Raw genomic sequence first — 26,996 nt, forward strand, 5'->3', positions numbered from 1 at the left:
GTTTGGATGCACTCCCTGCCTTCTCACCTTGCACCCAGGTACTCGGGCTTAGGAACAGCAGCAAGTTGTGCCCTCTGTCCCCTGGGACTTTCCATGGCACGACCCCCAGCTCTGTGCACCATGTCCTCTGTCCCTCTCAGCAGCCTTGGAATGTGAGGAAACAGAGATGACGAGACCGGCTGAGGTCACCTGGCAAACCGGTGGCTGACCCAGGATGATAAGATGACAGGGATGCCAGGTAGGCTGAGCTCCCACGCTCCATGCGAGTGCCTGGGAAGGGGTGGGCTGGAGGAGCAGGGGATGAATGGAGGGAAGGGGGCCTCGGGGCTGTGCCCCTTCCCAAACGTGTGACTCAACCATGTGTCCAGTGGCTGTCCCTGCCACAGGCCCAGCCTATTAGGGAGCAAGCCAGGTCCCCAGACCTTGGGGATTTATTCCTCCTTCCGGGGGAGGCTTAAATTTTACCCCAGAAAAGGCAATGTGTAACATAAAAAGCCTCCATTTCTGACATATGAAGAGGGAAAGCCCTCCTTGGAGTCCTTCAATAATAATGATAATAATTCTAAATCCTATTTACTCGGTGCCAGACACTGCTCTAAACACTTTATAGGGCTGGGCTCAGTGAGTGGCTCATGTCTGTAATCCCAGCACTTTGGGAGGCTGAGGTGGGTGGATCACCTAAGGTCAGGAGTTTGAGACCAGCCTGGCCAACATGGTGAAACCCCGACTCTACTAAAAATACAAAAATTAGCGGGACATGGTGGCCCACGCCTGTAATCCCAGCTACTCAGGAGGCTGAGGCAGGAGAATCACTTGAACCCAGGAGGCGGAGGTTGCAGTGAGGTGAGATCATGCCACTGAACTCCAGCCTGGGCGACAGAGCAAGACTCTGTCTCAAAAAAATAATAAATAAATATATATATATATAAACACTTTATAAGTATTAACTTGCTTACACCTCATAAGAGCCCTAAGATGTAAGTGCTTCTTCTTATTCCCACTTTGAAGATGGGGACATTGAGGCAGAGAGAAGCAAAAGGCTTTTGGAAGGTCACACAGCAAGTCAGTGGCAAAGCTAGAAGTCAAGCCCAGAGGATTTCACTCTACACTTGTCAAAAGCCACAGGCTAGGCCAATGTGGGCAGAGGGGCAAGGCTGCTGGAACCTCTGAGATGGCTGGCGCAGCCCCTCCTTGCCGGCCCGGGGTGGCCACAAATGCAAGAACCGGGAAGGGCCCTCTTGGCACCTGACCCTCACCTGGCACTGTCAGCCCTTGACCACTTCCCCGGTGGGTAGGCATGCCACCTGTGTCTGCACCCTCCAGCGACCAGGGGCTCAGCTGTTCCCCTGGATGCCTGTGCTCTCCCTGCTCTGCCCTGCCTGAGCGGAATCTCCTCCTGCCCTTTGAATCCACCCCGCAGTGGGATCTGGCATCACCCTGTGGACCTCCAGACCTGCCTGTTCCCCAGCTCTGGGACAGCACATGTGACTCCTTAAGTCTTCTCGGCTGTAGCCCCTCTGACCTCTACAGATCTAGTAACTTTTCTGAAGTCCACAATCTGTGGCTGTGGCCCAAGGAGCTCTAAGGGCAGTTTGAGGAATTAAAATGAAGACAGTCCTGCAGCCACCTGTGTATGTGTGTCAGGGCTGGCAGGGAAGCGGTGGCTTCAGGGCTCTACTTCCATCCAGCCTCCGCCACCTTTGCCCCCACGGTGAAGGCAGCCTAGTGCACTGTTTCCAGGGTCTGGCCCTTTTAAATTTAGCTGCGGGGAAAAAGCAGTTTGTGCAGGTCTGGAACTTGGAGACAATCAGCAACAGGAAAAAGTCATCCGAGGGGAGCTTTCAGTGAATTATGGAGGTATTGTTCCTGCGCCCAAGGAGCCAGGGCTGCTGGTCCAAACCTCGCTGACCCAGCCCAGGCCTTTGGGGCAAAACATTGCCTGGAGCTGCGTCAGGACAACACAATGTGGGCCTCTGAAGGCCAAAAAAAAAAAAAAAAAAAAAGGGCCAGAGGAAGAAAAATACTGGAAATTCCCTGCATCCCAGTGATGGAAGAGCCTTTCTTGAAAATCAACAGCAAGGGAAAGGTTGCTGCCCGCCCAGGCGGGGCCTCGGGGAGCAGGAGGAAGTCGCAAGCGATATTTTGAGATATTTTCAGTCTGGTGTGATGCCGGTTGATTTTCCAAAACACAAGGGCCTCATGCTGGGAGGAGAGTTGAGGCTGGACTGAAGCTCACCAAGGGTGGGGCCGGGGTGCAGGATGGGCCAGGACAAGAACATAAACAGAAGCTGACCCAGTTGGAGAGCTCTGGTGCTCCAGATGGCTGACTCCCAGGCCCCTCGCCACCCTGGGAGGCCCAGGGGGGTCTCCTGTTGACCCAAAGGCCCTTCCGGACCTCACCTAGGTAGGAAAACTGCAGATGAAGACTGGGATCCCCCTGCACAGAATGCCTGCTAAGTGGCCAGGCAGATTCTGCTTGCTCGCCTCTCCTGATGGGGCACTCACCACCTATTCAGCAGCTCATCCCATTTCTGCACAGCTCTGAGTGGGAGAAACAATAACAATGGTTGTGGAAGGGACACAGCAGTGAACAAAACAAACGCTCCCGTCCTCATGGGGCTGACACTTTAGTAAAGGGACACAGTACAAAAAATTAATAAAATGTATGGTATGCTAGAAATTGCAAACACTGTGAGGGAGAAGATAAAGCAAGAAAAGGGGTAGGAGGCACTTGGGATGCAATTCTGGAAATAGGTAGTTAAGGAAAAAGTTCCTCCTCACTCTCAGCTGGGACCCACCTCCCTGGGATGTCTCGTGGACCCCACTCTGCCCTCTGGGCACAGAGGTTCATCTGCTCCCCCCTAGGCAGGGATAGTCTTGCTCTGTTCCAAATTGAGCAGGGCCAACTCCTCACAGGAAGGGGGCTCCAGCCCTCTCACCCTTCTCTAGGGCTCCAGAGTGAGCCCCTTTCACAGAGGTGGGAAGGACATTGTAAACCCTCTATCTCCATGAAGGCATGCGAAGGTCCCTTTTCAGCTGTTTTAGCAGCTGTATCCCACTGTTACCTCCCACTGAACTCATCAACCTCTGATGTCATGAATGGTCAGGACATCCCGCCTTCTCCTTCCAAGGATAGCATGAGCTTGCAGACCCAAGAATAAGAATTTGCATTTATTCTTATTGTTTCATCTTGCAGCATTTCATCCATGCAGAATTGCAGCTTGCAGAGATCTTGTTGTGGCTTGCAAAGATCTTTTTGGCATAGAGGTAGACCACACATGAGATAGACAAAGGATTAATATTCTCAACATACAAAGAGTACCTAAAAATTGATAAGAAAAATACAAAACAAAAATAAGGAAAGACACATAGACAAAGAATATGATCAGACAACTCACAGATGCAGAAATGCAAATGGCCAATAAACAAATGAAAAGATGCTCAACCTCTCAGGCAGTCATAGAAATGCAAATTAAAAGAATAACGATATGCCAAATGCCATTTTTCTCCCATCAGATTGGGGAAAATATTAAATATTGATGACATCCAGTGCCAGCCAGGCGGGGGCAGTTGAGCAGTTTTGACGCGGCTGGTGGGAGTGTGAGCTGCCACAATCTTTTGGGACACTAATCTGTATTGGAGTTTAAAATGTGTATGACCTTTGGTCCAGCACTTCCACTTTGGAGAATTTTTTGTACAAAACCATATAGACACATAAGGTGATATGTACAAGGATGTTTGTTGCAAAAACAAAAGAATGCGCTAAATATTGATCGTTAAGGCAATGATTGAATGAATTATGGGACATTTGTTCTATGAAATGTTAAGCAGCTGATAAAAATAAGTTGATCTGTGTGTATGTTGTGTGTGTGTGTACATGTGTATGGACCTGAAATTGTGCTTATGATATATTATATAAAAAACAAGATGCAGAGTCAGGTATATGGTATGATCCTATTTTTGTAAACATGTTTGAAAGAGCAAAGAGTAAACTGGAAAAAAATATTCACTAAACTGCTAACATCAGTTATCCCAGAGGAAAAGAATCACTAGCAGCAAGATTAGTAAATTTTTTGATGTCATATCTCTTTTGTTTGGCTTTTGCAATAGGTTTTTATAGCTCTAATAATTTTGGTAACAAATACTCTTTCTTAAAAGTTATTTTTAAACAGTTCTTATGGAGCTCTGACCATCATGTCTTCATTATGAGCAAAGGCAGGAGTCAGCCCAAGGACTGGGACAGAAGGTTGTCCTCTCGTTGCTGAGCTGGGGGTCCAGCTTACCATGAACCTCCTACTCCTGGGCTTTCCAAGAGATATTCAAGGGCCCACCCCACTTCTCATCTTCATGCTAGCAGGAACTCCATTGTTCACTGAGCCTCTTGGGTTTTCCCTGCCTCTGTTTCCCATATCTTCCTCTTCTGTGCCTCATCCTACCTTCCCTGTTCTGTGACTAGTACTGCTTCCAGAAACTGCAGAAGAGACTGGGCTGGATTTCCTAATCTAAGTCAAAGATTTGGAGGCGCAGAGTCTAGGCCCAGGACAACAAACAGTTTCCTTCTTGCATGCCAGCTCTCAACAGTGGTAAAGGAGGCCAGGAGTGCTAAGCTGAAAGGGTTTCTAGGCTCCACCAACAAGAGTGCTGGGATTGATTATCAATGTCTGCTCTTGTCTAGGGACTGGTGAACAGGAACACCAAAGTTACTGCCTGGCCACACTCCATCTCGGCAGGTGATTCCCAGACTGGAATAAGCACAGGAATCACTGGGGATCTTAGTAAGATGCAGATTCTGGTCCAGTTGGGCTGAGATTCTGTAGTTCTGGTCTGATAAGCCCTTAGGTGACATGGATGCTGCTGGTCTCAGGACCACCCTTTGAGGAACAAGGGGCCAAGATCTTTGCACTCTCCATTCCTAGCCACCTCCTCCTCTCCCTCAACTCTTCAAACATTTGCAAACCCTCCCCATATGTCCAGCACTTCTTATATCTGTCACATGGTTTGATTCTTGGAACAGCCCTGGTTATTATCTTTGACAGATGAGGAACTGGAAGGGAAAGAACTTGCCCAAGCTCCCCCAGCCAGCTGACAGGGGTGGATCGATCGCCAACCTCCCTCGCCTCCCCTTCTCCTCTCCTGGAGCCAAAAAGCAGCCAGAAAGACCCTGCTGCCACCTGAAAGCACCGTATTCACTGCCATAAATAAGGCCTCCGCTGAGCCAGCTCCCTCCTCCTTTCTCAGCAACATCTCACAGCAGGCTGGGATGAGAGAAGCCAAGGAGGGACGGGAGGCTTAGCCGACAGCGTGAGTTATGGGCTCGGGGAAGCCCATTAGTCACTAAAGCAAGAGAAGTTAACTCGAGCTTATTAACGCTAAACGTTTATTATTCACATTGATCATGGCAGCAGACAGCACTCACCCCCACCCCCTCCCCCACAGTGCTGTGCAGCCTGTTCAGATCGCAGGATGGTGATGCGGGCTGAAGAGGCTCCCTATGCACCAGAAGCCCCAGGAAATGCAAGCAGGGCATGCACAGGCCCCAAGGGGCTCTACCTGAGCCAGGGGCCAGGGAGCCATCAGTGGCACAATCAGACACCATCTCCATCATCATGGGTCGACCAGGAAGCTAGCAGGCAGGCTGCATGGGGGATGGGAGCCTGCCTCAAGGTCGGCTTGACCCTTAGCAGCAGATGACCTTGCCAATAAGTTGCATGACTTTGCAGAGTCTCAATTTTGTCATCTATAAACGAGGGACACATTCATTCATTCGACAAATATTTATTGAGCACCCACTAAATGCCAGGCACTTTCTAGGCCCGAAGGGACAATAAAGAACAAGAAAGATCCCTGCCCTCATGGAGTTTATACTTTGGAGTTGGAGACAGACAAAGCAACTGAAGAAATGAACAAGCAGAATAATTTCAGGTAGTGGTAAGTGCGGTGGAGAAAACAATCCCAAGTCACACGCTGGAGAGTGGCTTGGGGCGCTGGGAGGATGTCCGCAGGGGATCTGGCACCACCCTGTGGACCTCCAGACCTGCCTGTTCCCCAGCTCTGGGACAGCACATGTGACTCCTTAAGTCTTCTCAGCTGTAGTCTCTCTGACTTCTACAGATCTAGTAACTTTTCTGAAGTCCAAAATCTGTGGCTGTGGCCCAAGGGGCTCTACGGGCAGTTTGAGGTTAAAAAAGGCTGTGAGGGATAAAATCCCACCTAACCTCCCTTAGAAGCTGTGAGGAAGTGCAGTGTACACCGGGGGCCCTGCCTGGCTCTGCATGACCAGGTTGGGGCTGCAGTGACCTTGGCTGCTAATGGCTGACAGCTGCCCCTTTCTCCTGAACATTGCCCTTGGCGGCCAGCAGGCACTCCCCTAGCACTGTGCCCCCCTTCTCCAGGGTGAGTCACCCCCTCAAGGTGGGACTCATGCTGTGGTGCCCTGTGTGCTCCAGAGGCCCTGAAGATCAGGCTGAGGCCAGTGTCTAGCGAGGACACAGCCTTGTGTGGTGTTTTCCCTGCCTGCCTGCATCCCTCACTCCCTGCTGAGAGCATTTCTTGAGGCTCTCCTTCTAGGGAACCTGGCGTAAAACATGAGGATGAGACCAAATGGTGGCTCTAAAAGCTGAACCCAACACTTGCCACACAATTTGCCTAGAATGTTCCTGATTTTAGAACTGAAAGTCCTGCATCCCAGGAAAACCCTCAGTCTCAGGCAAACCGGAATGATTGGTCAGCTTTGGTAACTGCTTCATAAGTAAGACTCATTCACTCATTCATTGGCTATCTTCTGGGCGTCTCCTTGTGCCAGGTTCTATCGGTGGAGCCATGGCAGGGGCCCATCCTTATGGAGCTCACAGTCCCACTGCAGCAGGCAGTCACTATCCTAAGATGATCACTCAGGCCTGCAGATCAGGAGAGCCGACGCAGGGTGGTGAGCTGGGGGCTGCCCTTGAAGGAGGGGAAAGAGCTGCCCAATGAAGGGGGTGGGGACATTCTGGGCTGAGCACCCACCCTGGTAAGCTGATGACCAGGAGAGCCTCGAGCTTTGGATCTACAAATGCAGAGAGAGATTGTGAGAAGGAGGTTCAGGGTGCCCACTGGCCATGCCCTTAGCTTCTCCAGGCCTCAGTTTCCCCATCTGTGAAGGTCTCTCCAGCTCCAGCAGGAAGCCTAGAATATCCACAAAGCAAAGAGCTTTTTGGGAGGAGCCCTCTGTAGTCACCAAGGTTCCTGGGTGACCATCAAGATGGTTAAGACCTCAGGGAACCTTCTCTGGACCAGTAGACACTATACTGGTTCCTGAAGCCCCAGGATGATCCAGACAAATAGGTCTACTATTTCTATTTTAGAGACAAGGAACCTGAGGCTTAAAGAGAAGTAATGACTCATCCAAAGTCACATAGCCAGTGAGTGGTGGACCGGGCGGGGGTGTGGGGGTTCCCAGGGCTCTCAGACCCACAGCCACTGAGCCACTTCATAAGTTCAAGAAGATAAGAAAGGCATCGTCACTTCCATCCTATTCATTCCTTTATGCACCCCCTTTTTATCCGCTCACCTACTACAGAGGTGAGTGAATAAAAGCACAGATTCCAGAGCCAGCCTGCCTGGGTTCAGACCCCTGCCCACCATGCAGAAGCCATAGGACTGAAGGCAAAAGACTTAGCTTCCCTGTGCCTCGAATTCCTCATCTCTCAAAGAGGAGACCAAAACTGCACCTCTCTCCAAGGGTTGTTACGAAGATTAAATGAGTTAATATATGTAAAGCACTTACAGCCTGGCACACCGTAAGTCTCAACTATGATTGTTTCTTTATTGCTATGACTCAGTATTACACAAGTCGTTATAATAAAACATTGGCAACAACCTAAATGTTCAACAATAGGAGAGTTACTAAGTCTAGCATGATTTCTTGATTTCAGTGGATACAATAGTAATTAAGACAGGGTGGTCTTGGTGCAAAGATAAAAAAATAGACCCAAGGAACAGAAAGGAAAGTCCAGAACTAGCCCAACATGTATAGAAGTGCCAAATTTATAATAGGGGAGACACAACAGTACAGTGAGAGAGGGTGTTTTAAATAAATGGTGCTGGATAAATTGGACATTCACATGGGAATAAAAAGATTCTTGACCCCTTCCTCACACCATACACCTAATTCTGTTTCCATGACCTCTAAGCAGCCATTTCAACTTGACCAGAATATTGGCAATGTGTATGTTCACTCAGCCCTGTGCATTTGAAAAAGGTAACATTATGAGCAAACGTGTGAACTTGAAATTATAAAGCCACTTCAAATGTGTGCACAGACTGACGAGGAAGCCACGGTGAATTTCAGTGGTGTTGGTGGCTCCATGTGAATGAAATCTTTGGTTGTGATGGTTGTCCTTTTAGTAAAATGAAGGACATTCCTTTATTTTGAAGTTAACTTACACATCTCATCCAATCCAAGATTATCACGGAGAAGGAAGGTGAGTTTTAGGCAATGAGTAGTCAATAAGAAAGTTCCGATTTCCTTTGGAGAAAAAGGAAAACATGTTTTGTTGTCCCCCAACAGTGAGATGGAAAAAAATAACCAAGGGAAAAGTCACCCCACGCTTTCCTCGAGGCCATGGGCCCCCACCACTGTGGTGCCATGAGGAAGTCGAAGGTTGAGCGAGCAAAACATGTTTTCCTTCTGCAGGACGTCTGTCTGTAGGAACTGTTGGAATCAATTATTGGAAAACACAAAAATAAAATAAACTCCAGCCCATGGTAAACTATCCCTTCTTTCTGGGATCAGGAAAACAAAGGCCAGGATTGGGGTCAGCATGGAACAGTGGGCAAACAAGAGTGGTAGGAGGCAGGGACCTGGGCTTCAGGTAGAACAGGATGAATCTGGAAACTTCCTGAGCCTCAGTTTACCCACCTGCAAATTCATGATCCTGAGTCCACCTCACAGAGTTGGGGGTGAACATGCCATTTCACTCACTCAATAAACATGTATTTTGCTCCCAGTCTGTGCCAGGCTGTGAGCAGGAGCTGGGCCAGCTCCATGGCTATGCAACCAGTGTGGCCACACTGGGCCCCACATTGAGGAGGGCCCTGTGCTTGGCTCAGACCCCCACATGCTGCAGTGACCTCTAGAAATTCTTAATTTTTGAAGAAAAGGTATTGCATTTTCAGTTTGCACTGGGCCCCACCAATTATGTCTCTGATCCTCAGAGTGAGGCAAGAGCCAGTGTTGCTTTTAATTGCTGGTCGGGTGCATCTGACCCCACTGGGTTTCCCCCAGTGCTTGGAGTAAAGAGGGTGCTGATAAAATGGGGGTTAAAATGAAGGTGCAAGGAGAAGCCAGGGGTATGGATACTGCTCTACCACCCACCCAGGTGTGCCTAGCCGCAAGGGGACCCCTTCACACCCTTGTAAGTGCTGTGCCTGCCACTGTTTCAGGGGAAATTATCTCGATTTTGGTTGGGAGGGTCTTGAGTTAAAACCAGGTGTGTGGTCACAAATGACCTGGGGTCAGACCTTTCCGCTGCTTGCCAGCTGTGTGTCTAAGCAAGTCTCTGCGCCTCAGTTTCCTCATCTATGAAAAGAGTCATACATGCTCGTATACATGACATACATACGTGCAGGGTGCTTATGGTACTGGGAGCACCAGTGGCCCAACCAGCTTGAGGAGGCCCTGAACCCTCACCTACGCAGACAGGCAGGGAGCGTCTGGATCCTGAGGGAGGTGTTTATAGCCAGTGGCAAATTCTCCTCGGGCTTCCAATTTAAGAATTTGACTTGACCCTGGGATGCTGCGCCTGGACAGCGAGGGCTGGCTGCTGTTGCCTGTTTATAGGTGAGATGTGAACAAATGGTATTTATAAAAGGTTAAACATTGGTTAACCAAACTATCAAGTCAGTGAGAAATGGCACGTGGATTAGATCTCCAAACACAAGGTCCACCTGCTGAAAGACATGAAATCCTAATTCACTGCCTACTATGTGCCAGGGACTTTGTTAACAATGCTCAGTAAAAAAAATCTAACATTGCCGACAGTTACCTGTGTGCCAGGCACTGGGCTAAGGGCTTCAGGGTCACTATCTTATTTCATCTTCCTAGTGGGCATGTGCCATAGGTGCCAGCAAAGCCTCATCTTACAGATGAGGAGAGGGACACCCAGAAGGAACAGGGACTTCGTGGGGGCTCAGGGCTGGTGAGTGGTGGGGCTGGGGCTCCATCCCAGCATCAGAGAGCACACTGCAGGAAATAATCAGCCCGACTCAGTGTGTGGCTCCTGCTGGGGGTGGAAGGTGCTTTCCCCACACCTGCTCCCCTCCTTAGGGACTCCCCTAAGCTGTAGAGGACCAGGCTTCGGCCTGGGGCCCCCCTGCTGGAAGGCAGCTTGGAGGCTGCTCCTGCAGGGACTGTGTGTGTTGACAGCAGCCTCTTCTTGAAGGACAGAGCCCCAGCAGCCACAGGGCAATGGACCGGCACCCAGAGCAGCCAAGTGTTTTAATGGTGTTCCCAGACTGGGCCTGATTCATTTCTCTAAGTGTCTAGGTTTTGGGTGGGGGGAGATGCACCCCCAGCAATTAATGATGTCGGTGACAGAGATTCACACTTGCCTCCCATGTCTGTGCACACAAATGCACAAGTGCTCATTAAGCTAATTAATATGGTCTTTCCGGAGCCACTACCTCCTTCACCCTCTGCCACAGGGCCGGCAGAGAGAACGCAGTCTCCACTCTGGAGCTCGAATGGGGAAAATAAATCAGGAGTCGGCCCTGGTGGCTCATCAAAATGCCTCTCTTTAAACCACCACCCTTCCTGGTGCATTGGGGAAGGTGACATTGCTACCTCTGTTCTGCAAAGCCAGCCCACAAGGGAAGGGTCGGCCCTGTGAGGACTGAGCTTCCCGTCCCCAGGATTCAAGGACAGGTGGCTGTCAGAGGTAGGAAGTTGGAGTCAATTGCTTGTCAGGGCCTTCCCGAGCTGCCCCGGCTCCCTAGCTGGGCACAGCAGGGCACGGACAGGCCCTGGCCCTTAGACTCTACCACACATTGAGTGAATGATTAACGGCCGGGTTCTCCTCTGATGGCCTGGTTCAGACTTCAGGCCCTTTGGTGAGAAGGGAGTCCCTGTGTTCCCCCAACCCCAGGCTTTTAACAGGGCCTCCAGAGCCTTAACCCCCTGTTTCTCCAAATGAAGAATCTCATTCAAGCTGCAGGGAATCTCACCTCACTGGGCCTGGGGGCAGGCATTGAAATGTGTATTGTACCCAGCCCGGAAGATCCTTCAGATCAGGGAGTTTGGGATGCCCTGCTTTAACCCAAAGGTGTGGACCTTGGCAGTGACCTTGTCAACTCCTCAGAAAGTCAAATCACCTTTTTTCATTCTCTGTGCATGAGGCCCCTTTCAGCTTGGTGGGAGGGTAAGCAGGAAGGCACAGGTTTACCCTGGGTTTACCCTCAACTCCTCGGGAATGAACCTTTACTTCTCTCAGTCTCCTCATCTGAAAAACGGAGATAATAATACATCCCTCCAAATGCAATCAGCACCCCAAAAAGTTCCTGGCAATTGTACTTGCTCAAGAAATGTTAGTTGTCTTATAGGGCAAACACTTAATCTTTGCTCCCCGCGCCCCCAACTAACTCCTCTTGAGAGATGGTTCCCTGCACTGAGCAGATGTTAGAGTGAGCACTTACTGTGTGCCGGGCTATGTTCTCCGTGCTGGAGGTGGAGCAGCCACCAGGGAAGATCCAGCCCTGCCCTCCCGGGGTTGGCATTCTAATCGGGGAGACAGCACACACATACACAGACAAATAAATGGGACAGTTTCAGATAGGAATGAGTGCAGAGAAGGAAGATAACCGGGTGATGGGATGGCAAGGGAGTAGGGAGTGGTGTCAGAGGTGCCTCTGTGAGGGGGACATTTGAGACCTGAGAAATGAGAGGAGCCAGCCCAGCCATGTGAACATTTAGGAAAGAGTTTTCCAGGGAATGGAAATAACAGGGGCAAAGTCCCTGGGGCTGGAAGGACTGAGCAGGGTCAGGGATGGAGAGGAAGGCCAGTGTGGCTGAAGTGAGTGAAAAGGGGGAGGTGGTGAGAGATGGGGTGGGGAAAGGGGACATGATGAGGTGGGTGGGGTGCTGGGGCTTAGGGGCTGTGGTAAGGAAGGAGGATGCTATTCCCAAAGCAACTGGTGAGCAGCTGTTGTGTGCAGCCACAGTGCTGGGAGCTGTGTTCGTGGCATCCTTACAGCGGCCACTGGGGGTAGGGGAGGGACGGCTGGTGGCTGGTTACGGAGAAGGCTGGGCTCCTGAGTGGTAGCCACATTTGGGTGCAAGCCAGAGTCTCCACCCTCCCCCACCCTCCACAACAACAAATGACTACGTCTCCCCATGACTCAGGTCTCTCCAGCGTTCTCAGGGCAAAGTCCCCCAGAAAAAAACACCTTTCAGAGTCCCAAGTCCCTGTCACTCTGCACTGAATCCCACCAGCACCCATGGCCAGAAGACAATCTTTTACAATGTGAGTGAGAATCCATCCCTCCCCTGCTTCACCTCCTCTGTGGCTCCACATTTTTGTTCAGAGAATGAAACCCAAAGTCCTTGCACTGTGTGGTCCAGATGAGGGCCAGCCTCTCCACCCCTCCGAGTTCACTTCAATGTTGCCCTCCATCTAATGGGTATAATACCCAGACTTGCCTTTCCCTTGGAATGGTGGTGAGACTTGGGGGGTGTCCCTTGGGGGATGTGACCCCCATTTGTTGCCTGTACGCCCAGGAGGGGTTGGTGAAGAGGCTCTCAGCCAGGCCTGCCCTCAGAAGGGTTAATGTGGCCTCTTTGTCCCATGGTTGCCATAGGGACAGTTCCTGCCCTTCAGGAAGCAGGGAGAGCAGTTTCCTGTTTTGAAGAAGGCTTGAGGGCTGTTTTCCTCCAGTCCGCCTGCCCAGAGAGGGGCAGGAAGCCTAAGGCCAGCCGCCCCTGCTGCTGGGTGTGTGGCGGAGCCGTGCCCACACCCAGCCAGCCAGGAGGGGCTGTTGTGGAAATGCAGCCTCGGGAAAAAGCCAAACAGGCCAGTGCAAGGAAAAAAAATGGCTGGCCGGAAGAGGGTGGCCGCTTCCTCCACAGACCTTGAATCCCACCCAGTGATAAAAATCCCACCCAGTGATAATAAAAACTCCAAGCTGGTCCTGCCCAGCCTCTGACTCCCCTCCCCCAGAGCTCAGCCCTTTCTTGGAGAGCCGAAGACTGATGGATCAAGACCTTGAGGCCCCTGCCTACCCCTCTCGCCCAAATGCACTCCCACCCGGCACACTGGTTGCTCCAGCTTCATCAGATTCGGCCCCCATTTTCCATCCCCACCCCTGTCTGGAATGCCCTTGCCTCTGATGAGGGTGCAGATCAAAGCCCACCTCCTCCTAGAAGCCTTCCAGCATGCATTTGAGCCCATGCAGCCCCCATGGGTCAGGAGCATTCATGAATTCAGGTCTCATCTCCTCTTGTGGCATCCCGGCTCCTGCCTTCCAGGTTTCCCACCTCCAGGCTTGCTCCTCTGACTCATCCACAACTCCAGCTACCACATAGCTTTCTACCACACAGGGCTGACCATGTCACCCCCTCCCCCAGACTATGGCTCCTCTCTACCTGCAGGGTGAAGTCCAGACTCTTTGGCCCACCATCAGTCAGAGAGCTTTCACATACATGTCCTGTGCTGTGACCACAAACATTTCTCACCGTGCCCACCTGCCTTCCTCTTCCATCCCTCCAGGTGCTTGCTCAGGCAGTTTCCCTGTACCTAGGAGGGCCACCCTACTGCTGCACCTGGAAAATGCTGCCTGACCTTTCAGGCCCAGTCCAAATGTCACTTCCTCTCCTCTTAGGGGTAAGCTTAATTCGATCCCCTACTTTCAGCTCAGCTGCCCTGCATCACTATCAGCTGATCCCAGGCCCTTCTCTCTGACCACACCATGAACTCTTTAAGGACAGGGAAGTGAAGAGAGAAGAGAACTAAAATTCACCGAATCCTCACTTCAACCCAAGAGAAGTTTCATTATGCCCATTTTACAGAGGAGAAAAGTGAGGTGCAGCGAGGTGAAATGACTTGCCCAGGGCCACAGAACCAGTACCTGGTGTGGTCGAGAACCTGCTCCTCTCTCAGCCTGGGTGAGCATGCTCAGGGCAGTGGGGGTCTGAGCCAAATTTATCTGATGTCCTCCAGCAATGTGTGCAGCATGGGAAGGGAAGGGCAGCCTTGCTCAGACACCATTTCCCTCCCCACTCTACCCCCACAACCCCCAAACCCCCGGCAGGTATCTGGCTTAGATTTGTCCTCCCTGGAGCCAGGAAGGCAACTCAATTACTTTTCAGGGGAAGATAAGCCCCAGAGGCTGATGGTGTCACAGCCATGGCACTGCAGGGTGAGCAGTCTGAGACTGCAGGGACCAAGAGGTCAGCAGCTGAAGAGGCTGCAGGGCCAGGGTAATTTCCTTCTTAATAGCATGCATTTTCTTCTAGGTGACAAAAGGTGGACCTCGTGGAAAATGGGAAACACAGGGGGCCCCTGCCACAGGAGCAGAATGCAAAGGTGGCCAGCACACAGTGGGAAAGCAAACCCTGAGGTTCACCCCCTTCTGCGTGGGGCAGGAAGCAGAACCCAGGCCACCTCCACAGGCTGCTGCCCTGCTTCCGCACTGCCCTCCACTACCCCCAACTCTGCTCATTCCAGCATGCACAGGGTGCTCAGTAAGTGCTCCTTTCTGATCTTCTCATGCTCTGATTGTGGGGGTTGTGTGCCCCAGTTCCTGGTGAGTTGACTTTGTTTGTGCACATTTATGGAGCACCAACTGTGTACCAGACATCATTTATTAAGCACCCCCCTATATCCCTCTCCCGTACTGAATTCTTTAGATGAATGACCTCATTTACTGAGGAGACACTATTATCATTTCCATTTGATTAGGGGTGGGGAGGAGTGTGCTGAAGTAGGTAAGAAGGCCAGCCCCAGAACCAGGGTCCCATGCCCACCACTTACTAGTTGTGTATTCCTGGGCAAGTAAGTACCTTAGCCTCTCTGCATTGTGGCAGCCTCATCTGTAACATGGGGGTAATAACAATGCCTACTGCATGGGTTTGTTAGGAGGATTAAATGAGGTAATATATGCAAAACATATATTGAAGGCACAAATATATCAGCATATAGCTCAGCAAATATCAGCTATTATGATTTGCAAATGAGGAAACAGACTTAGTGACTCACCCAAGGTCACGCCCAAGTGAATGTGGTTCCTGACCACCACATCCCACTGCCTGTCTGGGAGGCTTGGTGATGGGCACTTTCACATGAGCTTGCAGAGCCTGGGGTGCTTTTTTGTTTCTGGAGAACGTGGCCACATCCAGCTTTGGAGCTGGCTTAAAGGCTTCAGGCCTGTGGGAATAGGGAGCTGGATTTCAGCGATTTGGAGCTGGGGCTGCCATAACCCGAGCCGTGTTCAGGGAGGTAGTCAGCCCCAGATTGTCCAAGGATGATAGAAAGATGGGAAATATTTGCTGACTTGGAGAATGGTGCACTATGCATGTGCATGAGTGAGAGGTGTGTGGGATGGAACTTTGTGTGTGGGGAGGGTCCTGGGGTCTTAAAGGGTGCAGTGAGGGGTGACTTTGTTTTCAGAAGCCCCCGGGGAACCTGTCATCACCACCGCAGGAGTCTAAAGGCACCTGAGGAGTGGTACCGTAATGGGAACACTGGTTGGGAGTCAGGAAGTCTGTTTTCCCCATTAGTGCTCTTATTGGGCTGGTGGTAATTAGATGTTGGGTGGCCTTCCTCAGCTAGCCTGGGAGCTCTGGGAAGCACAGGGTGAGGCTCGGCTATGAGGCACCTGGCACAAAGTAGGTACTCCATTCATTTTTGCTGAATGAATGAATTGAAGAAAGGAAGGAATGCCCAGGATTCTGGTCAAGATTCTGCCATGGTAACCTTGGGCAAATGTGGTATACAGCAAACAGCATTGGCCCTAGAGACAGACGGACCTGGGTCTGACTCCACCACTGCCTCTGGGTCTTGAGAAAATGTCTCACCCCTCTGATCCCCAGCTTTCTCACCTGTAAAATGGGGACAATGATAAAAATCACTTTACATTGTCATGAGATGTACGGAAAGGGTGGAGCACAGAGCTGATGCTCAGCAGGCATCCGCTATCAGCATTTGTTATCACTGTCATTGCTACGACTGCCTGCTGTTAGTGCCACTGTCTCCTCACCTGGCTGATGCACTGGACATCCAAGTTCCTTTGATCCTAAGTTCCCCAGGCTCTGAGGCCGACATCTGGCTGGTCCTTGGATGTGGCAGAACCATGGTGATGGTCCCCTTGGCCCCCACTTCCAACGCTCCCGCTAGGTTTTTACCGCGAGGTTGCTGGCAGCTGCTGGCCATTCTGATTGTCCAAAGTAGATAGAAAGAGAGGGCAGCATGGAAAGAGCAAAAAGAAAGGGGGAGAGAGGGAAAGCCTGCTCAGATATCAACCCTGCTGGCATCTGCCTTAGAGGTTTCTGTCTTCCACCTTCCAGGCTCTTCCAGAGAAGTGTGGAGAGGCTCTTGCCCACAAAAGGCAAAGCCAAGGACTGCAAGCATTCACAGAGTAGTAAATGAGTGAATGGGATGAGAGTCCTGGCTGGACTGTAAGGGCAAGTCACTTCCTCTCTCTGGGCCTCAGTTTTTCCATCTGTGAAATGGGGATATAATAACTCCTTTATACAATTCTTGGGACAAAAACATATGTTAAAGGCTCAAGAAAGTAGTGATGATGGTCATCATCCCCACACATCATGTCTTTTGTGGGTATTTACAGTTACTCCCCCTGAATTCAGTGAGTGGCTGTGGCTCAGTCCCATAAATACAACCACCAGTATTGGCAGTGGGTGTTTGTAAAGCCAACAGTATTTCCTATCCATTTTCTCTTATTAGGAACAGCAAACAAAGGAATAAGCATTTCAACTTCATAGCCCATCACTCCACACTATTGTGTGGCTTCAGCTACACAAGTTCAGACCTGTGTTTTTCCCAACTGGCCTTGGTGCTATGATCTTTTAAAGTAGACGTTGCTTAGCCTCAAATCCCAAATTCAACAGTAGTGGAAAGGGCTTAGCAAAGCCTTGAGGTCTCTTCCTGTCCTCCCTTCTCCTTTGCACAGGCTGACAGCTAAGAGTAACACTGGCAGTGAATTGAATTATCTGAGCCTCCCTCACCTGCTCCTGCCCTGGGGGTTCTAGGGTATTTTGCTTTTATTGCTAATCTCAGAAACAAGATCAATTTTTTAAAAAAATATATTTTCTTTTTGCATCAAATATTGAAGCGGTTTATCCATTCACTCATTTGTACCCACATTTAAACACAGATATACCTGCCCACATCTTCTATACCACCAACTCTACCACCTCCCTCAACTCCACCACCTCACTCAACTCCACTACCTCCATCAACTCAATCCATTCCCTCACCTGTCCCACCTCCATCACCTCGACTGTCTCAACTGCCTCCACCACCTGCATCACCTCCTTCAACTCCACCTCCACCACCACCACCTCCTTCATCTCCTCCAGTTCCACTACATCCACATCATCTATCAATTACACCACCTCCAACTCTTCCACTACCATGGGGTATATTATGTCCTCCAGTTATGCCATGATTTCCACAACTACGTCCATCACCCTCTCCACCTCTACCACCACCACCTCGACCTCCTCTCCACCACCACTAGTTTCTACTACCACCTCTCCCTCCTTCACCTCCAACACCACCTCCACCATCTCTGTTTCTGCTACTACCACCTTTGCTACCTCTACCACCTCCACCATCACCTCCATCTCCATCCCTGCCACACCTCCATGCATGGACCCATAAAATGTATCAAGAGCCTGTCTAAGTAACACCAAATTCAGCCACAGATTTTCTATTCGAGTCACAAGTATTTCTCCACAGAAGCCTGGAGGATTAAGGACTCTGGGGCAGCTCAGAGATGGAAAGGACTTTGAAAGGATCAAATTCAGTTCCCAATTTTACAGCTGGGGAAATCAGATCCGTCTCCAGCACCACCTCTGGACACTCCTCCAGCAGGCCAGGCCTTCTCCCACCTCGGTGAAGTCTTTGCCCCAGCAATTCCTCCTACTGGGAAGGCCTCTCCTCTGGTTGAACCCTCCGCACTGGGGTCCTCCTCTGAGCTCCCACAGGCGCCTGTGCATTCCCATCCCAGCACGAGCCTCGGGGTAGCAGAACTATCTGTCTGTGTCTGTGTGGACAAGCAGACTGGGAACTCCTGGGAGGTGGAGACTCCTCCACCTGGCAGGTCTGAGTCATCTATGTCGCCAGGCAGGTACCTGTGAGGGGCTACGCGGTGTGTGCTGAGTGGATAAGGAAAGGCTTCTCATTAACTGGGTCTCCCTTCCAATGTCACCTCCTCAGGGAGGCCTTCCTTGATCACCCAGTCTCTACTCCGGTGGTTCTCAAACCTGGAGGGTTTGATAAAACACGGGGTTTCTGATTCAGTGAGGCTGGGGAGGGTCCCAAGAATGTGCGGCGCCATCTGAGAGCCATCGCTCAGCCCTATTGCCCTGGTTTCCCTCCCTCGCTTTGAAATGGTGTCTCCAGCGACTTCCTCCCGTCTACGCTCCATGAGGGCAAGAATCTGGGGCTGTCTTGTTCCGTGCTCAGCGCAGAGGCTGGCGCGGCACTGAACGAATACCCAGAGTTAAAAATAAAGGGATAGATGGTCCGCTGGGCGAAGGAGCCAGGAACACCCCAGAAACCCAACTCGCTGAGTTCTCGTCCTTCGAACCCCCAGCGCCTCCCGCGGTGCCCATGGCCACGGCCCCTTTAAATGTGCGCAGGGACGCCCCGGCCCTCGCCTCCCTGAATCTCTGACCGAGCAGGGGAAAAAAAAATCCTTCCTCTTCGGGAGCGGAGGAAATGTCTAGGAGGGGGTGGAGGCGCGGCTGCGGCGCAGGCAGAGGCGCAGGCGGAGGCACGGCGGCCAGAGCGCAGCGCGCCCGGAGCCGGGAGCGGACGCGACGCCCGGCGCTGCCCCAGCCGCCGCCCCCGCGCTCGCGCCCCCTCCTCCTCCCCCGCCCCGCGCCCCCGCCCGGCGGCCCCGCCCCGGAGGCTCGCGGCTCGCGCCCCCACTGCCCTGCGCGCCGCGCGGAGTCCGAGGCGCGCCGGGGCCGGGCGGGCGCCAGGGGGTGCGGGCCCCGCGGGGCGGCCGCGGAGGGAGGCGGTGTGCGGAGTCGCACTGGGACCCGCGGACGGACTGAAACGCCGACGGCGGCCCGGGCCCCGCGCGCTGAAGATGAACAGAGCAGGTAGGAGGCCCGGCGACCTCCGGCGCCGAGGCACGAGCGCGAGGGACCCCGGCCGGGCGCTCCAAGTTGGAGCTCCCGGGGAGCCCGGGGCTAGCTGCCCGAAATCCTCCGACCTTCCAGTGCCGCTCGGCCTCGGCCAAAGCATGCGCGGCTCCGGGGTCCTCTCGCCGAGGAGGCTGAGAACCGGGGGTCCCCGTCCGAAGCGCCCTGCCTCAGGGACCTTCTCAGCCTTGGCGAGGCCGCGCCCTGGCCGTGCGCGCCAGTATCCCACTCGCACGGCGTTCCCCGGAGTGAGGGTCCCTTCCACGACGAAGAAAGACGCCCCTTTCGCAAAAGCGACTTCGTCTGGCCCCAAAACCTTTGCCCTCCATTCCCCAGCGTCCCGGACCGGTCCTTGCTCATCTCTCAGGGGCAACACCTGACCCACGGGGCCCGTCCCGGAGCTCTCTTCGACTCCGGGACCAGTTCCCAGCCCTTCAGTACTCGGCATACCGGAAGGAGGATTCCTGCTCCCTTCTCTCCTCCTAGACCCCGAGGCTTGGAGCTTACTCTCCAGATGAGACTAAAAAGCCCTAAATTAATCCCCCTATAGCGCACCCCTCCCTCGCAGCGCCCTGGTCGGGGGCCTCCATTGTGCCTCCCCTAGGGGACCCAATGCCAAGGGGACGCTCCTCGCCGCCGCGCTGAGCCGCTCCAGGTTCCCCCACCCCCAGTCCATCGCGTTCCTGCTCTATGAATTTGACTCCCCCAGCTCATCCCTGCAGTTCAGAGATTCCGTGAAATCAAAATGTGTTTGAAATCGCAGGGATCCCTCCAGAGTAGTGCCATTTAACGGATTTAGAAAGCGAGACTCGGAGATGGGTGGTGCATGGAACCCAGTCCTCGGGATTCCCAACGCCATCTAAGGGGAGGGCAGAAAGTTCCCTTAAGATGAGAGTTTGCAAGGGAACAGTCCCAGCTAACTTCATCTGCCTGCCAAGGAGCAATCACCACTCTATTTTCTTTTTCTCACAGAATTTAGTAGAAGGCAGCCCGCTCCCCGACCAACACCCTTGTCCAAAGCCATACTCCAAAACACACATCCCTAAAGAAACAGGAAGCCACCATTTTGGCTGTCTTGGAACCATATCCTGCTGGTGTGTGTGTGTGTGTGTGTGTGTGTGTGTATGTATGTGTGTGTGTGTGTAGGATTTTTTCTTTTAAAAATCTTTTTAATGAAAAAAAGTCATTGTTTTAGCAGTGAGGTGCAGGCTGCGCGTTTAGACAGTCTGGGAGTGTGGCAGCCACCTTCCATGTCCAGGCCCTGTTATTGCTGGGCATACAGGCCCCTGGACAGTTAGTGAGTGTGGGTCACAGAACTGGGGAGCAGGATCGGGGGTGCCACTTTGTGGGAATGGAAGAGGCTGAAACAGAGGCCCAGAGCCCAGCCAGCCACTGCTTGGAAAGGGGGTTGCCTCCTGCCTGTGCTGGCGTGGCTGAACAGAGCCAGGCTAGCTTTTTCCTACACTCCTAATAAAACTCGCTTTATAACAATGGTGAGAGCGTTTCCAGTTTTCCCACGTTTTCCTGCATGAGGCTTGGGCAGACCCTCCCTTCTCTGAGAATCTGGGGGATGGAGTGAGTCGGAATAAACTTAGAGGCAGGTTTGGTCCCAGGAAATCTTAGCCGTTGTCGCTCTTGGGTTCAGCCTTCCTGTAATTTGTCTCCAGTGTAAACCTGGTTCCTTTTTCAATGTGATGGTAATGATACCAGCCTCACATTCAGGCCGTGCCCCATGGTCTGAATTTCCTGATCACATGGCATGGTGGTTCACAGACTCCATAGGACTGAATCTCAGAACCATCATATGCTTAGTTATGTGACCTTAAGCAGGTTATTCAACCTCTCTACACCTGTTTCTTTATCTGAAAAATGGGGTTGGTAAGATTAAATAGACTAAAACACGTAAGGTGCCTAGAAAGAACAGTGTCTGTAGCAGAGCAACCAGTAAATACCAGCTAATATTTATTGGGTACTTAATATGACTTGGTATTGCTTTTAGGTGTTTTACTTCTATCAGTTTATTTAGTTTTCACAGTCATCTTATGAGTTGAGTACCATTGCCATCCCCATTTTATAGATGGGAAAATTGAGGTGCGGAGATTTTATGGTCACTGGCTTATTGAAGGGCTGAGACAAGATTGAAACCCAGGCTGTCCAGCCTGAGAGCCTGCTTTTTTATCCAGTGCCTAACACGTAGTAGGGTGTAGGAAATGTCTGCCAGTCGACTTTATTAGGCATCATGTCTGTTATTTTCCGGAACTTCTCAACGGCCCTATGAAAAAAAAGGGGGTATTTCATCATTTTACCAAAAAGGAAACTGAGGCTCAGAGAGGCAAAATGATGTGCCCAAGATCACAGAGCTGACGTATAGCAGAGATGGGATGGGAGCCCAGCCTTCCTGAGCGTGAGCATGCTCTTCCCACACTGTCCTGTGCTGTCTTCCTGGTAGTGCCCTGTCGTGGATCACTGGACCAGCCTAACAGCAGCCTAATTAGAAATCATCAGGCTTGGCTTGGACATTCCAGCAGGCACCCAGGAATGAAAGTTAAATTAAGATGTAATTGGAAGGTGAAATTGGAAGATAATTACTCTTGTAACATATGGTTATGAGAGTTCCAGGGGGAGTATAGTGAACTGCAGCTGAAACAGACTTTGTAACTGAAGATGGGATGTCAGAGGGTGTCTTAAGAAGAGCCAGGAGTTTAGAAGGCTGTGGTCGGCCAGAGCAAACCAGACTGACTGACTGGTCCCGTCCCCTCACTCTGCAGATGGGGAAGCCGAGGCCCGAAAAGGGGAAGGGACTTGCCCAAGATCACACCTCCAGTTAAGGCAGAGCCAGGTGTGAAGATCAGGGCTCCTGGCTCCCCATCCAGTGCTCCTGGCTCCCCATCCAGTGCTCCTCCCAATACCCCTGCTAATTGAACTTCTACATAGCCAACAAGGGAGCAGCAAGCATGAACATGTGAGTGACAGATATTTAATTAAAATAGAGAGAGAAAATATAAACTGGTGCCAGGGGGCTGGCTGGGGATGATTTCTATCACTAGAAGCTGTTAAAAATCTCTTCCTCCTGTCAGTGCGATTCCCCCACCCCCTAGTTAACTCCTGCCATCTTGGCTCAAAGGGTGTTTGGAGTTTGAGTCATCCTCGGGCATAGCAAATTGCCAGGAGGCCCTGGGCATTAGTAACTTAGGGTGAGGAGGGTCCGACCCCCAGGCTCCGTGATACAAGGAGAGAGAAGGTTCACACCATAGCCTTCTCCAGAGGAACTCAGGGGGCCCAGAAGGTCCACCAGCTACATCCATGCTGGGTTCTGGACAGGGAATCCAGAGAAGGAAACCACAGCTCTGATTTAGCCTATAGTTTCGCCCTACCATACCCTAAAGCTCAGCATACCCTAAAGTTCCCTGGAATGCTCTATCCAGGTGGAGCCTATTTTTTAATTGTGAAAATCCTCCTGTCCTTCAACTTGCACTCAGTGCTCTCTCTTTTCTGGGTCTTCTCTAGGCAGAATTGCCCTTAGACCTAGATAACATGATGCTGAGGTCAGGAGCTCCATCTGGCTCCCTTTTGTGATGCGGGTGAGTAGGAGGGGACAGAGCTGGATGCTCTCATACTCTTGATTTGTTTGCACCCTCCTCATCTCTGCTGGCTGGGGCCCCCAGAGCTCCCTCCTTGGCCCTGCCCTCTTCTCTGTCCACACTCATGCCTCTGGTGATCTCAACAGGCTCCTGCCTTAAATTCCATCTCTATGATGGTGACCTCCGGCCAGACCTCTCTTCAGAAGCCAGAGCCTGCTTGACATCTCCAGCTGCTTGACATCTCCACCAGGGTGTGTAGTAGGTGACTGTGAATGGAGTTTGACCCGTGCAAACTGAAATTCTGGATTTCCCTCCCCAGCACCTGCAGTCTTTCCTGTTCCAGTTGGCAGAAACTTCAGCTTTCTAGTTGCGCAGACTCAAAACCTTGGTGTCGTTCTTGACTTTTCTCTTTCTTTTACACCCCACATTCATATGGTCAGCAGATCCCCTCAGCTCTCCCTTCCTGTTGAGAATCTGACCTCTTTTCACCTCAGCCTGGTCCAAGCCTCCATCATCTCTTGCTTGGATAATTGCAGGAGTCTCCTCACTGGTCTCCCTGCTTTCTTCCTCACCATTTCAGTTTATTTCAACACATTAGCCAGAATGTGCATGTCCCTCTGCTCAAAACCCTGCAGTGGCTTCCCACATCACTCTGAGTCAAAGCCCTGCATAATCTGCACCCTCCTATGATTCCTTTCGCCTCATCTGCTTCTCCTGCTCGATCACTCCGTCCCATCTGGCCTTGCCGGCCTCTTCGCTGTTTCTTGGATGCCAAGTGAGTCCTAGCTTTCCTCACCACTTTCGTGTCTTTGCTCACATGTCCTCTCAGTGAAGCCTATGCTGGTCACTCTATCTAAAATCGCAAAAAAAAAAAAAATACTCCTAATCATTTTGCATAGACTTTATCATCATCTAGCATATGATATGTAATGTACTTACCCTTTCTCTTGCATATCTCCCACCACCTCTCAATACAAGGTCCCTGAGTCTGGGGGCTTTGTTATACTTATTGATGTATCCAAAGAATCTAGATTAGGGCCTGGCACATAGTTGGTACTCAATAAATATGTATTTAATGGAATTAGACTAAGAGAAATTGAATGGGAGCAAATTAAAGCTAGTTGTTCACTTTTTGGTCAGTTAGTAGTTCTGAGCCCTGGACGCAGCCTTACATACATTTTTTAACTGCCCAGCTGTTTCTGGTCACCGTGGCCTTAGTTTCCCTGCATTTTACCCTTCTCTGCTTCACCAGATGCTGGGACCTCTGAGTCTCCATCATAGAGGAAACACTCTGTGGCAAAAAGGGGATGGCAGAGGGTCAGGTGACAACACTAGAAAGCCGGAAACGCAGGTTCTACCAGGGCCCTGCTCTGGACTCGCTGGGTAGCCCCACACCAGCCACTCACCCTCTCTGTGCCTTAGTTTCCTCCTCCTTCAGTGAGGGTCAGATGAAGCCTTTCTTCTTTTGGCTTGCCTTGATCTCAGAAGGGATGTGGCTGAAGCACTCTGCGCCTGGGGCTGGGAGCACAGGACAGGCGCTGAGTGTTTGCCATTCCCAGAGGCTCCTGTGGGGAAGTCATTTTCTTGCAGGATCATGCCTCAGACACCCACCATAACCTTTCCCTAGGAGACAGTGCCTTCAGATCAATAGCTTGATTGGATGAAGGATTGGGTGGGACGGGGGTGATATAGCCAAGGTGATGGTCATTTTTCATGGCCCACCTGTCCCTTTGTCCTGTCTCATGGCACCCATGTGAAATGCCCACCTGTTAAGGATAAGAAATGAGAGTCCCACCCCCAAAGAATAATTTCGTGCCAATGCCTGCCACCCAATGTTGACAGTGTGAAGCTCATATTACGCAGTGTATCAGTGTAGAGCAAGACTTCAACCAAGGGAAGATCTGGGGTAGGCAAAGATGGACTTTATCTGAACAACAGCTACTATTGAGTATTTCTATGTGAAGGCCTGCTATTGAGCCCTTTTGATATGTAGCCTTTAATTTTTAAAACAATCCATTGAGGGTAGGTGCTGTGTGGTACCCATTTTACAGATGAGGAAACTGAGGCTGAGTTTCATAGCTGATAAGTAGCAAAGTCAGGATTTGACCCAGATCAGCCAGGCTCCAAAGGCTCCCTCTGTTACCCTACTCTAACAGGTAGCTGAAGCATATCTTTTTAAGCTCCCATGTTTTGTTTTTCACTAATATGGATAGACGCTTTTCTAAACTAGGACACACGTGACTGTGTACGGAAACAAGGAGTTTGATAGTCACTATTTCTAGAAGATTCTGGGTCATTGTATGGATGTCAGTGGCTGGCCTGGGCATTGATGTGGATGAAATGGTGTGGATTAGGGGTCTGATGCAGTGGCTGTTTTAACCTTTAAACCCATTGGCACTGATACCAACTTTGGCTTCAGAAATACTGAAATTGAGGTGCCAGTGGTACAGTCCCATGGAGATGTCTAAAACCAGTTAGAGCTGTGCTGGACAGTACCGTAGCCACCAGCCGCATGTGGCTCGTGAGCAGGTAAAATGTAGCTAGTCTAAATTGAAGTGTGCTGCAAATGTAAAATGCATATTAGATTTGGGACACTTAGTATGAAAAAAGAGTGTCAAACACCTCATTAATACATTTTATATATTGATTACATATTGAAATGATAATATTTGGATATATTGAGTCCAATAAAATATATCGTTAAAATTACTTTTACTTTTTTTTGAGACGGAGTTTTGCTCTTGTCACCCAGGCGGGAGTTCAGTGGCTCAATCTTGGCTTATTGCAACCTCTGTCTCCCAGGTTTAAGTGATTCCTCTGCCTCAGCCTCCTGAGTAGCTGAGACTACAGGCGTGTGCCACCACACCCGGCTAATTTTTGTGTTTTTAGTAGAGACGGGGTTTCACCATGTTGACCAGGCTGGTCTCGAACTCCTGACCTCAAGTGATCTGCCCACCTTAGCTTCTGAAAGTGCTGGGATTACATGTGTGAGCCACTGCACCCAGCCTTACCTATTTATTTTTAATGTGCCTACAAGATAATTTAAAATTGCCTATGTAGTGATACATGTGGCTCACATTCCAGGGACAGCCCTGGATTAGAGATTAGTAATGTTAGATGTTTCAGGGACAACACTGGGCCTAACATGAGTGGGAAGAGAAGAGTTTGCTGGCAGAGATCTCCCGGCAGTCTGCTTCATCTTCCCTCCTGTTAGGAGCCAGGCTGTTATTTTGAGGCCACTTGTGTCATACCCAAGCCTTAGTGGGAATGGAGCTGGGAGATTAGACCAGGCTGAAGGAGAAACGTGGGAGTCCTAATCTATGGGTGGCAGGGATCCATGCAGTACTTTTGAAGCAGAGATGTTGGGATGGAGATGGATTCTATGCCCGCAGTATGCAAGGGAGCTTAGGGGGCCAGGCAGGTGACAAGGAAGCCAGGGAGGAGGCATGGGCAGTCTTGTAGCAGAGAGATGCTGAGCTCAAAAGTTGGCAACCACTCATTTGACCGTTCCCCTTCTCTAGATCCTTCTTATCCTGCAAATCTTAGCTAAAATATCACCTTCTTTAAGAGGTCTTCCCTGGCCACAGCAGCCCATGCTTCTCTAATTCCAGTTGCATTGTAGTCTGCACCACATCTTTTATTCTGCCATGGTCAGAAGGTCCTCAGCATCCACAGATATCCATGTGGCAAGTACATCCTTTTCCAGAGATCCATGTTGGCACGTACTATATAATTTCTCCCATGAAATTTGCATGCCCATGAAATTTGGGTGTAGGCCTGGCTGGACACAGTCCTGAAGCATGCAGATTCCAGACGTGACCCCCAGCAGAAGCACACATCACTCTTTCAAACCTTTGGCGTGTCATTCATGAAGGGATGAAATGGCAGCTATTCAGTCATAATATTCCAAGGGTCCCCGGCTCTACCCTCCAGTTGTTGTAACTCAACTGTGAGTTCTCAGCAGAGTCTGTTTTCTCTTCTTGACCCTAGGAGACCCTGCCATCTGCAGTGCTGTGCGTGTAGCTAGTGGGTACCCAATGGAGTAGCTGTAG

At 51.0% G+C, this 26,996-nt stretch overlaps 1 protein-coding gene and 1 long non-coding RNA gene across 5 annotated transcripts in view, besides 4 other annotated features; one reads left to right on the top strand and one right to left on the bottom strand.

The window, feature by feature from the left end:
- Positions 4,985-5,918: an enhancer, noted in NCBI's record as "H3K27ac-H3K4me1 hESC enhancer chr3:14838036-14838969 (GRCh37/hg19 assembly coordinates)". NCBI's record gives its function as "activates a minimal SCP1, AML or CMV promoter by ChIP-STARR-seq in naive H9 embryonic stem cells {active_cell/tissue: H9 hESC(naive)}" and the evidence as "EXISTENCE:reporter gene assay evidence [ECO:0000049][PMID:30033119]".
- LINC02011 (long intergenic non-protein coding RNA 2011) lies at positions 7,787-19,870 on the bottom strand. Its single transcript, NR_135245.1, has 3 exons — positions 19,814-19,870; positions 11,671-11,752; positions 7,787-11,477 (listed from the first exon to the last, which is right to left on the bottom strand). It is a non-coding gene; the product is annotated as a long intergenic non-protein coding RNA 2011 (long non-coding RNA).
- Positions 12,621-13,363: an enhancer, noted in NCBI's record as "H3K27ac-H3K4me1 hESC enhancer chr3:14845672-14846414 (GRCh37/hg19 assembly coordinates)". NCBI's record gives its function as "activates a minimal SCP1, AML or CMV promoter by ChIP-STARR-seq in naive H9 embryonic stem cells {active_cell/tissue: H9 hESC(naive)}" and the evidence as "EXISTENCE:reporter gene assay evidence [ECO:0000049][PMID:30033119]".
- Positions 19,144-26,996, top strand: part of FGD5 (FYVE, RhoGEF and PH domain containing 5) — a 123,884-nt gene continuing 116,031 nt past the window's right edge. For all 4 annotated transcript variants that reach the window (XM_011533422.2, XM_011533423.2, XM_047447514.1 and 1 more), the window contains exon 1: positions 19,144-19,321. In XM_011533422.2, coding sequence (XP_011531724.2) covers positions 19,309-19,321 — 13 coding nt within the window. In that variant the 5' untranslated portion in view covers positions 19,144-19,308. The remainder of the gene's footprint in view (positions 19,322-26,996) is intronic.
- Positions 19,440-19,940: an enhancer, noted in NCBI's record as "H3K4me1 hESC enhancer chr3:14852491-14852991 (GRCh37/hg19 assembly coordinates)". NCBI's record gives its function as "activates a minimal SCP1, AML or CMV promoter by ChIP-STARR-seq in naive H9 embryonic stem cells {active_cell/tissue: H9 hESC(naive)}" and the evidence as "EXISTENCE:reporter gene assay evidence [ECO:0000049][PMID:30033119]".
- Positions 22,413-22,615: a silencer, noted in NCBI's record as "fragment chr3:14855464-14855666 (GRCh37/hg19 assembly coordinates)". NCBI's record gives its function as "represses an EF-1alpha promoter that drives an FKBP-Casp9 reporter gene in an ReSE screen in K562 erythroleukemia cells {active_cell/tissue: K562}" and the evidence as "EXISTENCE:reporter gene assay evidence [ECO:0000049][PMID:32094911]".

This window comes from Homo sapiens, chromosome 3 (assembly GCF_000001405.40).
Source record: "Homo sapiens chromosome 3, GRCh38.p14 Primary Assembly".
NCBI classification, from domain to species: domain Eukaryota; kingdom Metazoa; phylum Chordata; class Mammalia; order Primates; family Hominidae; genus Homo; species Homo sapiens.